General features: G+C 42.2%; 1 long non-coding RNA gene across 1 annotated transcript in view, besides 1 other annotated feature; it reads left to right on the forward strand.

Moving 5' to 3' along the window:
- The window catches only part of MIR3681HG (MIR3681 host gene), a 571,233-nt gene that overhangs the window by 148,744 nt on the left and 409,987 nt on the right, over nucleotides 1–12,502 (forward strand). The window contains exon 3 of the long non-coding RNA NR_110196.1: nucleotides 10,879–10,996. This is a non-coding gene — a long non-coding RNA (MIR3681 host gene). The remainder of the gene's footprint in view (nucleotides 1–10,878; nucleotides 10,997–12,502) is intronic.
- Nucleotides 7,458–7,959: an enhancer, noted in NCBI's record as "H3K4me1 hESC enhancer chr2:12303443-12303944 (GRCh37/hg19 assembly coordinates)". NCBI's record gives its function as "activates a minimal SCP1, AML or CMV promoter by ChIP-STARR-seq in primed H9 embryonic stem cells {active_cell/tissue: H9 hESC(primed)}" and the evidence as "EXISTENCE:reporter gene assay evidence [ECO:0000049][PMID:30033119]".

Below are 12,502 nucleotides of genomic sequence, written 5' to 3' on the forward strand. Positions count from 1 at the left end.
AGCTGAGGCTTGAAGAAAGAATAAACAGTCTCAGAAGGAGAAGCCAGCACAGGATGCAGCTGAGTGCTGGGCTGACCCATGGGTGTGAGTGGCTCCTTTGGAGACAGGCAAATCATTTGACCCCAGACTATGGGCTGCACAAGGAAACCGGAACCTAGCTGAGAGGTTTCAGTACAAATATAGATGATAGTGTGGATGCCAGGCTTGGGTGTCTAAACTTTATGCCAGAAGCAGACAGAGCCTACAAAGAATAATGAGCAGAAAATTGATGATATTTTTTGAAAGATTATTTGGGCAACAATGGGGAGAATGCACTAGATGAGCAAGACTAGACATGGATTTCTGAATTTTTAGAGTAAAGATGGAGAGTGCAGTGAGACAGGTGGGTTCTCCTGAAGACTGTGTCCTTGACAGGAGAATGTACATGGGAACAGATGTTACACGCCAATTATGATTTAAATGGAGTCATTTTGATCTTTCGACTCTATTTTCTTTGACTTGAGTTGGAGTGCAGGATCTGGTCTTGGGCATCATGCAGGCCGAGAACTTCATTTGGAAAGAAGACAATATCCTTTTGATGTCTAAGTGATTGTCAAGTTAGCATGAAGATCTCTCCAAATACACTTCAACCTGACATCTCCCTGCAGCCTTTCGCTGTGTGTTTTACATAGTAGATGTTTGGCCCTGCGGTTAAAAATTTACATATGCCTTAAGGACAGAATCCATGCCCAGAGGAGATCACCCTGAAAAGTAGAACTGTCTAGCAGATAGAACAAGTGGAGCTGAAGGTCATATTACTCCACAAAACTGTGGATTCTTGCAGAACCCGCATTCAAACAGACCTTGTCAGCCTGAATTCAAACACAGTTCTGAGTTAGCTCTACTGCTGACATGTTTCCTTGCCCAGAGGTTTCTGGAAATGGAGAAAGCAGCTCTGTTACTGACAAGAAAAAATATGTCTTATCTGAAAATACCAGAGAGTATTTTCTTCTCTCTTAAATTGGGTCAAATGCACTCAATCTAATTGGAAAATTTTATAACAAAAAATGAGAACTCTTCTACAAGTGGGCTTTCTGCTTAAAAATGCAGCTGAAAGCATTATTATAATAGACTATATATTAGTTATTGTGCAGGTCATCTGAGGATGGGCTTTGCTCATACCTGGTAGAAGGAAAGAAAGAATAGTCTCTGAAATGTGTAAATTATGGGTTGCAAAAAGAGGTGAGCATTTCCTAGGGAATGGAACTGAATAGTTCAGGGGAAGCTGGACACGGAGTTCTCTCAGACATGGGGAGCTTCAGTTCTCAAAGGGTGGGCAGAAACGAGCTTGAGATCCAAGGTCTCAGCTCATGCAGCATGAGAGACACAAAGGACATTCAGTGAGGTATTTAAGGGGGTTTTGTTCTCTTTTATTCAGAGTTTCTCTTTGTTTTTTTGTTTTTGTTTTTGTTTTTTTTTGAGATGGAGTCTCGCTCTGTCGCCCAGGCTGGAGTGCAGTGGCGCGATCTCGGCTCACTGCAACCTCCGCCTCCTGGGTTCAAGTGATTCTCCTGCCTCAGCCTCTCGAGTAGCTGGGACTACAGGCACGCAGCACCACACCCAGCTAAATTTTGTATTTTTAGTAGAGACGAGGTTTCACCGTGTTGGCTAGAATGGTCTCGATCTCCTGACCTCATGATCCACTCGCCTCAGCCTCCCAAAGTGCTGGGATTACAGGCATGAGCCACTGCGCCTGGGGTTTATTCAGAGTTTCTAATCTGTTTTTAAACATAGCTCATTTATAATTTACATTCCATGAGACTCACCTATTGTAAGTGTACAATTCAAGGAGTTTTAGAAAATTTACAGAGTAGTGCAACCATCAAACCAAATCTAGTTTTAGAACATTTCCATTACCCCCCAGTAATCCCCTTGACTTTGCAGTCAACCTCCATTCTCACTCCTAGCTTCAGCCAAGAACCGATCTGCTTTTGGTCTCTATCAATTAGCCTTTTCTGGATGTGTCATAAAAATGGAATAATATGCTATATAGTTTTTTCTGGCTTCTTTACTCTTGGCATAATTTTTTAAGGTTCATTTGTGTTGAAGCAGGTTATCCCTATTTTGTCCTTTTACAATGCTGGGTGGTATTTAAGTATACAGCTGAAATACATTTTGCTTATCAATCCATTGTGTGATGGACAATTACATTGTTTCCAGTTTTGGCTATGAAGAATAATGATGCTATATGTTCATGTGCAAATCTTTGTGTGGATATATATTTTTATTTCTCTTGGGTATATTCCTAAAAGTAGAGCTGTTGGGTTTCATGGTAAGTTTGTGTTTAACATTTTGAGAAACTTTCAAACTGTTTTTCTAAAGTAACTGTATCATTTTGTGTTCCCACCAGCTACGAGGGCATGGCGGCGGGGTTTTCCAGTTACTCCACATCTTTGTCAACGCTCGATATTATCTGGCTTTTAAAATTCGAGCTATTCCAGTGGTTGTGGAATTTACCTAATTACTAATGATAAACACCTTTTCAGATGACTGTTAGTCATTTATATGCCTTCTTTGGTGAAATATCTGTTTAAGTCTTTTGCCAACTTTGTATTTGGCTTTTTGGGCATCCTATTTTTGAGTTAATGAGTTTTTACATTTCTGATGCATGTGCTTCATCAGATACATGGTTTGCAAATACTTTATTTCAATGTGTGGCTTGTTTCTTTCGTTATCTTAATGGTATCTTTTGAAACACAAATATTTTAAATTTTAATGGAGTCCAATTTATCATTTCTTTTTTTCCTTTATGGCTCATGCATTTGGTATTGCATCCAACAACTCTTTGTCTAACTAATATCTCAAAGGTTTTCCCCTATGTGTTCTTTTAGAAATCTTATCATTTCTCACAGTTATATTTAATATATGATCCATTTGTAGTTAATTTTTGTGTATGATGTGAGATAAGAGTCTAGGGTTTTTTTTTAATTTATATGAATCTTCCATTTTCCTTTCCATTTTTATTTTATATGAATCTTCCATTTTCCTAGCACCATTTGCAATTCATTGAAAAGATTACCCTGCTGAGTTGCTTTGGAATCTTTGCTCAATGTCAGTTGACTATAAATACAAGGTTTTTTGTGGACACCAATTCTATTTCATTAGTTGATGTACCTATCCTTCCACACTATCTTGATTACTATAGAGTTATAGTAAGTTTTGGCATTAAATAATGTTCTCTAACTTTATTATTTTTGTTTTCAAAATGGTTTTGGCTTTTCTAGATCCTTTGTATTTTCATATAAATGTAGGTTAGCATGTCAATTTCTACTAAAAATTCTCCTAGGATGTTGATAGGGATTGTGTGGAATCAATAAATCAATTTAGTAAAAAGTACCATCTTTACAATACTAAGTCTTCAACTCCATGAGCATGAGATGCCTTTTCATTTCCTTCTAGCAATATTTTGTAGTTTTCAGAGTAAAAATTATCCATTCCTTTTGTTAAAATTTTTCCTAAATATTTTATTCTTTTTAGTGCCATTATGAATTGCATTATTTTCTTGATTTCATTTTTGGATTGTTTATTGCCAGCATATACTCCAACCTGCTAAGCTCATTTATTAGTTCTAGTAGTATTGTTGTGCATTCTTTAGAATATTTTTACATATAAGATTGTGTCATGTGATTTTTTACATATAGGATTGTGTCATGTGAATAAAGAGTTTTATATCCCTCTGTCTAATCTTTTTTCCCCTAGCTTTCTTTCTTTCTAGTTTTTCCTTTTTTCTTCCTTCTTTCTTCCTTCCTTTCCTCCCTACCTCCTTCTTTCCTTTCTTCTTTTTTTCTTCCTTTCAATGTAATGTTAAATAGAAGAGACAAAATTTACATCCTTGCAGTGATTGATATTAGGGGGAAAGCATAAAGTCTTCACTACTAAATATAAGATCAATGGTAGGTTTCTTATAACTGTCCTTCATCAAGTTAAGGAACTCTTCTATATCTACCTGGTTTAGAGCTTTTTATTTTTTTTATTTATTTTCTATTTTTTATCATGAATAGGTGTTAGATTTTGTCAAAGGCTATGCTAAAAAACTTTATATTCCTGGGGTTAACCACACTTGGTAATAGTGTTTAACACTTATTGTAAGTTGCTGGATTTAGTTTTCTAATATTTTGCTAAAGATTTTGCATCTATGTTTATAAAGGATATTCGTTGGTAATGTTCTTTTTTTTGAAATGTCTTCATTTGACTTTGATAGCAGGGTAACAGTCCTCTCACAGAATAAGCTAAGGGAATATCTCTCCCTCCTCTATTTTTCAGAAAAGTTTGTGACTTTTCTAAAAAGTGATTCATCAGTGAATTCAGCTGGGTCTGGGATTTTCTACATAGAAAAATTTATAATTTTTATTTCAATTTATTTAGTTATAGATATATTAAGATTTTTCTATTTCTTCTGGGGTCAGTTTTGGGATAATTTGTGTCTTTCTAGGAAAGTATCCAGTTCATTTACATTTCTTAATTTCTTGGTAGAAAATTATTTATAATGTTCCCTTATAACCCTTATAATAAAAAAGTACTTGTTTTTATTTCTAGTTTTGTAATTGGTATCTTTTCTATATTTTCTGTTCCAGTCTAGCTAAGGGCTTGTCTCTCTTGTTGATCTTGTCAAAAATACAACTTTTGTTTTCACTGATTTTCTCTATTGTTTTTCTGTTTCTATTTCCTTGATTTCCAGTTGTTATTCTTTTTTTTTTTTTTGGCTAGGTTTGCTCACCTCTCACGTCTGCTGGGTACAAAAGAGCACATGGGTTCTGAAGACCAGGACTATGCTCCTATCTCTGTTGTGCATGTGAGTGCCCTGTGGTCAACCCAGGATGTGCGGGCAGCTTCTCAAAGCCCATCACCATCACTTCATCCCATCCTCTCAACCCCCTGTAAAATCCCTCACTTGTCCACCAGTTATTAATTCCTTGACTATTCCCTTCGTCCCCTGCTTGCCCGAAAAGGACCTCAGCCTCAGGATGGTGGAGCTGCCTGCTCTCACTGTTGCTTGTCACTTGAACTGACAACACCTCGAATCACATTAGCTCTCGGAAAGTGGTAATGGATGGAGCTTATTGTTTTCACAGCCTCTGCCTTTGCCCATGTTGTTGAACTATTGACAGAGTTGGGGGTGGAGATGGGAGCAGCTCTGGGCAGAACATCCCAGATTCCTGCTGTTCTTAAAAGAAATTCAGTAGTTTTCTGAAAAACTGCTTCTCAGTTTGTTGTATGACTTGGGTTGGTTTCCAGAGGACTGAAGTGGCTGTTTTAGGCAGGTTTGTCCAAATTTATTGTTGCTTTATGGGGAGATGATTTTATTGTGATGGCAGTTGTACATATGCTTGTTTGTTTTGGCTTTTATTTTAGCTTTGGATGGTGTCCTTTGTTCACATTAAGTCTCCTGTGGGAGGCAGGAGCTCAGAACCCCAAACAGACACCGTGGAGTTGCTTACATTGCAGACAAGAGATGTCCCATGCCTGCTTTCCTTCCATCCATCTCCCAGCTGCTCTCAAACTCCCTGTGCAGGAGCTGCTGCAGCATGGTTTGAAAACCACTCCATCCAATCCAGGAACTTCCTTTAATTTGGGAAATCAAGGCCCCCAAAGGGAGGGGACTGCCTTGGGTTCATTCGTAGAGTGGCTGAGGAGAGGATGTCAGGACGCCAGCAAGTGGCAGCTGCAGTCGGAATAGGCACCTCCTTGTGCCATGAGGGGCCTGCACTTTCATCTGTTGTTGGGAGAGGGTGGAACTCCAGCTTTATTGTCTTGTCCTTTTTAGGTGGAAGCCCACAGCAGAACTTAACACTGGGAAACAGTACACAGTACCTAAGAATTCCTGGCCGCCTTTCTTTCCTCTCCTCTCAGCTCTGCCGTCCTTCCGCAAGGCCATAATCACCACCAGTGAGGGTGAGAGTCATGTGCACATCACTGCCTTAGTACAGCTTAGTTCCCTGTTTCATCTGACGCACGCTGGGCACCTAGTGTGTGTCAGATGAAACAGGGCCAAGGCCTAGTCCTCAGCCTGCTGTGTGAAGTCCTTTTGTGTGTGTGTGTGTGTGTGTGTGTGTGTTGGACACTGAGATCTGGGTTTTATCCATATTTTCCCATTTAGCCCTTACAGTATCTTCTAACTTGTATTGCCCCCAGGCTGTAAATGTGATAAATGAGACTCAGAGAAGTGAAAAAACATGCCTGATTCTCACCCAGCTGTGGATGAAGCTGGAATCTGACTTGGAGTTTCTGCATTTCAAAGCCTGTGCCTTATTCCACAGCGTGATACATCTTCCGAAATATGAAGGTCTCAGGGGGACAGTGGGACCTCCAGCCAAAAGTTAGGAAGACATTGGGATCCTTCATTATGCTGTGACCTCTGCAAAGGAAAGGTACCGCACTCCACACACACGCACACACACACCCCCCCACACACAACACAAAGACACATATGCCACACATCTGCCCGATGACACACACACACACACACACACCACATACACAACACAGACACATATACCACATACCCCTAACCACACACACACAACACAAACACACATATATCACACAACTCCCAACCATACACACAAACACAAACCACATAACACACACACACCATACACATACCACCACATATACCACCTTCTACACACACACACCACACATATATTCACATACATGCATATACCACATACCACACACACATACCACACCACATACCACACACACACAAATATAAACCACAGACACACACATCACACACACACACCATGCACCACCCATACCACATACAGGCAGACACGTCCCAACCCACCATTTATACAACTGCAGCTATTGCAGCACTTTGGGGTCAGCGCCTAATTTTGTCAACTAAGGTATAATTAGACAAAGTTTTCAAAGGCGTAATTTTCTAGCAAGGTGCACTTCAAATGCACCCTGGGGAGTAGTGTAATTTTGTTTTTCTAAGACAGAACACCCATTCTTCACAGCTTCTCTGCCTTGGGAAGAGAGAGCAGGTTGGTGGAGGAGTTTAGCAGATTTATTGCCATGAACATAGTGTTTGAGACAGAAGGCAAGCTGTCATAGCCTGACATGCAGGAAACTTGGGATAAATATTTCTGTTGACTCTCCATGGATTCGTTATCCTCACATGCCCTGGTTCAGGGGTTCTCCTGTTGGCGTGAACTCAGTCAAAGGATTAGTTCTTGTCCCGAAGGAATTAATGGGGGTGGTGGCATGGGGTGGGGGAGAGGGAAGAAGGGGGAGGGCATTCATGAAAATCACTGGAAAGTAAATCAGAGGTGGAATGGTGAGGTAACAGTCACGTATTCACGATTACCCTCTCTTCCAAAAACAGACCAACCGGGCATTGAAAAACATAAATAACAGGTTACTATATTTGAAAGAATAGCTCATAATAGCTGACATTTATACACTGGATACATTGCTAAGCATGTAGCACATATTCATTTAGCAAATTTTATTAAAAACGTGCTATGTGTCAGGTTTGGTCAAAACTCTCATAGCACTTACATTCTTGGGGAAAGGGAAGAAAGGCAACGGTTCACGCGATGAAAGGAAACTCTCTGTAATGTTGTGATCAATGCTAGGACGCTCACAGCCCACAGGACGAATTCCAATATTGGCAGCGAGCACGCGACCCACCCCCAGGCTTGGGGCTATCCTGGTCTGGTCTCCACTGTGCCCTTCACGGCCCCACACTGCAGTGGGGGGCTGCCTACCTGCATGTCATAGACCATGTTTGCTTGTACCCCAGGGGCTTGGATCATCTGGTTCCCATTTTCCTGTAGGAGATTCTCTTTCCCCTCCTTCATTCCCCTTCCTCTCAGTTTCAGTCCCTCCTCCACTGCATCTCCTGCCTGCCCTCGGCCACCTCCAGCCATGCAGTAGCTGGGTCCATCCTTGCTGCCCCCCATCGTGCTGTGCTCTCCTCTCTTGTGACACATCTCTCCTTTTATCCCCCGGCCAGCCTTCCACTGTCTGAACCGCTCAATACCGGAAACACCCTGTCCCCGACCGATCTCAGAATTGCAAAAACATGTTCTTTAGACTTCGCCTCATTTAGGATGCTCTGGCTCACGGCAACCTGCTGTGTGGCAGGTGGTCCTGGGCACCGAGCTGGCCAAGCCAGAGGCGCAGAGGCAGAAAGCTGTTGAGGTTATTTCTACTCCCCTTTCTCTACTGGGCCCTAGCTTCTTGCTACACTAAAGCTTGCACGCTCATTCTCAAGAGCTCGCCCCCCACTGATACCTCCCTGGGGCTTTGGCCTTCTCTTGCTCCTGGATCTCAGCTTAGCTCCTGACATGCCTGCGCTCACACATGCTAACATGGGCCTGTGACATTGCTGTTACTCCCGTGGAGGCTGGGTCACTCTTGCTTTTCTAGGTCTTCCTTTGCCCCAGCTGAGACTTAGCCACAGTCATATTCAATAACAATTCTGTTCTCCTTGTGCAGAATGATGGCAGCTTTAGAAAATAGATGAAATGGTTCATGTAATGATGGCCTAAGGGTTTGGCCATCATTTGGATTCCTCTGTTTGTCAGGAGACTGGGGTATCTGGAGGGCTCAAAGCTCTGTAATGTGATGCAATTATTGGTTTATTTGTCTGGTCCTTCCACTGGCTAAGACTCTTTTTCTGAGAAAGCAAACAGAATTTTAGCTCCAGAATATGAGCACCTGGGCTAGTACTTTGGTAGGTGCTCCCTGAATATTTATAGACTAAATCGCTATTTGGATAATCTGAAATTTACACTGTGAATTCTGTAAAATTAAGGTCCATTTCCTATCTCTAAATCCCTAGCGTATTTGCCAACCATCCACTGAGTATTTAACATGTGCCAGACCCTGCACTGGCACTGAGGATGGAGAGATGTATGAGACAAGCAGGAAGACCTCGGATGGGGCAGAGGCCCATATGCAGGTATCAGAAGAGAACCTAACACCAACACGGGTAACAGCAATGCGGAGGAGGAGGCTGTTCACTCCTCTCTGAAGTGGTTAAGAAAGGACTCATAAGATCCCTGGGTATTTTTTTTGAAATAGAGGTGGGAGAAAGAGCTTCGGCTCTGAACCTGGATGCTATTGATGTGGTGCTTGCTGTGATTATTCTTATAGATAGCATGGATTGAGTCCTGATGGTGTGCTTGGTACAAAGCTGAGTGCTCTCTAAGATCATCTCATTTATTCTACTGTAAGGCAGGCTGCTATATAAGGCAGACTCTAATCATCCCCATTTTGCTGGGGATAAGTGAGGTTAAGTTATTTATTCATGTCACGGGCAGTAAGTGGTAGAAGAAGAAGCTTTTCATTATTCCAATTTGGTGACCTTGAATCTCATGGTCTCTACAAAGCCTTCCCTAACGATTGCACATCTTCGGGAATTCTCCTTTCCTTGAATTATCATGGTACTCTGAAACTTTTGCTACACACCATCTTTTCCATCATTGCACATTAGTCATGCTTCTCTAATAGCTTAGTGGTGGCTAGTCCTACTACCTAATCTGTTAATAATTTTTTTTTTAAATGAAGGAAGCAAAGTCACCTACAGGTGAGCACTGGCACAAAACACAGTAGTGTTCTAGTCCCTTGCACATTTTCCTCTCAGCTTGTTCACCGCAGTAGCTGTCATGAATATTATTTCAATCAGGTATCCTGACACACGTGTGTTCCTCCATTGTGATTTTGGACAAGTTATATGACTTCTGTAAGATTTTATTTAGTTGTCTGTACAAAAAGGATACTCTCTTCCTTTGGGGTGACTTGGGAATTACTGGATATGGTGCACATGAAAGCAATCAGCTTTAATTTCCTGACTTTTTTCCCTTGAGATAATATGTAAAGCTGAGTGTTGCTTCCAATAATAGGGGAAATGATCTAGTATTCCATTTATATGGCAGAATGTTGATTTGGGAATGTAATTAGACTTAGATCAAGAAATCAAGGTCAACCAGGCAGGGTGGCTCACACCTGTAACCCCAGCACTTTGGGAGGCAGAAGTGGGAAGATCGCTTGAGTTCAGGGGTTCAACACCAGCCTGGGAAGCATAATATAGACTCTATCTTTCCAAAAAAAAAAAAAGAAAAGAAAAGAATATTAGTTACACTTGGTGGCATGTGCCTATAGTCCCAGCTACTTGGGAGGCTGAGGCTGAGGCAGGAAGATTGCTTGAGCGTGGGAGGTCAAGGCTGTAGTGTGCTGTGATGACACTACCTGTATTAGGGTTCTCTAGAGGGAAGAACTAATGGGATAGATATGTAAAGGGGAGTTTATTAGGTATTAACTCACACGATCACAAGGTCCCACGATAGGCCGTCTGCAGGCTGAGGAGCAAGGAGAGCCAGTCGAAGCTCCAAAACTGAAGAACTTGGAGTCCAATGTTTGAGGGCAGGAAGCATCCAGCAGGGGAGAAAGATGTAGGCTAGGAGGCTAGGCCAGTCTCTCTTTTCACATTTTTCTGCCTGCTTATATTCTAGCCTCACTGGCAGCTGATTCGATTGTGCTCACCCAGGTTAAGGTTGGATCTGCCTTTCCCAGACCACTAACTCCAATGTTAATCTCTTTGGGCAACATCCTCACAGACACACCCAGGATCAATACTTTGTATCCTTCAATCCAATCAAGTTGACACTCAGTGTTAACCATCACACGTCCGTCTGCACTCCAGCCTGGGTGACAGAGACCCTGTCTCAAAAAGACCAAAATCAAAACACCCACACAGAAAAAGAGGGCTCAATTCCGAACTTTAGCTCCTATTAGCTCTGCAGTTTGGGACATGTAATTTATCTCTCTGTACTTTTCACCCTTTTATTCATAAAACATTTATTAAGCAATTCTTATTTTCAGAACCCCTAGAGCAATCAACAGACAGACAGAGCCCTGCTTCATGGAGCGTCTGCTCTCTCCTGGAGCTCACACGCTGAAACAGACAGGATGCAACACCTCAGGGTTGTTGGAGAACCAGGTAAAGCACTATGAAAACAAAGATGTATTTTATAAATATAATTAATAGAAAGAACACAGTATTTGGAGTCAAAGGACTTGGACTTGAAACCTGGTTTTATTCTTCCTGAGCTAGTGGCTTTGGAGTGAATGCAGGCCACTGGCTTTAATTTCTTTATCTGTTAAATGGAACAATATTCCCCTCGTCACAGCATGGTAGGACAGTTAAATGCAATGTCTGTGAAAGCATTTTATGAATAGGAAAACAATCTGTGAATATCAGTCATTTGTTAATTATTAGTCATTTAAAATGAAGCATAAGGAAATCTCTTATCTCAGAAATTAAAATATGTCTGCAATCAACAATTGCTCAGAGGATTGTCACATTGATAATTGATAAAGCATGTTAGGAAACTGGTAAGCATTGGTTAAAAGGTCCGGAGATGCCCACCAGAGTAGGCTGCCTGCAGAGCCAACAGAAGTTGGCTTAGTGATAAGCGATCTCTGGATGATACTGACCCATGGGGTCACTCCAAGCCCATTGCTGTAGCTCTGGCCTTCCTAAGAATGCTCCTGATGCTTAGTGCATTTCTCACTATCGGGAGAAGGACAGTCCAACAGTGTCCACAGAGAATCTCAGGCTAGAAGTCTGTTCTTCAGTAGAAGGTGAGAAATTTGCGTAAGGCACCTCTTTTGTTTTGTTTCAGTTACCCACGAGCTTGATTAGTGTGGCTCACCCTCTAGTGCCTCCTGATTTAGGGAGAAAATAAACTTCTCAGCTACCCAAAGCCGAGGGTGAACTGCCTGCCCTGGGTCCTGCCTGCACAGGCCGTCTAGCACCGTCTCCTGACGACCTCAGAGGGCTGCCCCAGGGGGCAGCAGAGACCACTGGCAGGGCTGAAACAGGGTCCTTGTCTGAGGAGACAATGGCTCATTGTGCACAGTGACCTGCTGTATTCTAGGCACTGTGACTGGCCAGGAGTGAGTGGTCATTGTGCATACGGTATACAGACACATAACAAAATTCATCTTTACAACACACTGGGAGGCGGGCAGTTGCAGATCCTGAGTGAGAGAACCAAGGGACTTGCATGAAGTGGAACGATTGAGTGTAATGTGTGTCTTTTTCCATGCACAGCCCTTGCTTTAGGTGTTATCTCAGGCAGGATGTTCAAGGAACGGAGGGATACATGAGGGAGAAAGACAGGAAGGAGCCCCCAGCCCCCAAGAGTAAACCAAGGCCCCAAGGCACTGCGCTAAGTGCCACCAGAGAGGCAGATGTCAAAGGTCAGAGAAACAAAGGTCACACCTAGCCAAGGACATCAGTTCAGGCTTTCTGGGGGAAGGAGCATCTTGAGGAACAAGACTACGTCAGGTGGAAAAGCAGATGACTGAACAGGCATTCCAGGAGAAGGAATGGTGTGAGCGGCGCCATCCTGGAAAGCTGAAACCCCAAGGTGAGATTTTACTGAGAATCTGAGAACACTTGTGTCTATTTCTTTTGAGGGACATATTCTAAAACTGCAAG

This window comes from Homo sapiens, chromosome 2 (genome assembly GCF_000001405.40).
Source record: "Homo sapiens chromosome 2, GRCh38.p14 Primary Assembly".
Classification (NCBI taxonomy): domain Eukaryota; kingdom Metazoa; phylum Chordata; class Mammalia; order Primates; family Hominidae; genus Homo; species Homo sapiens.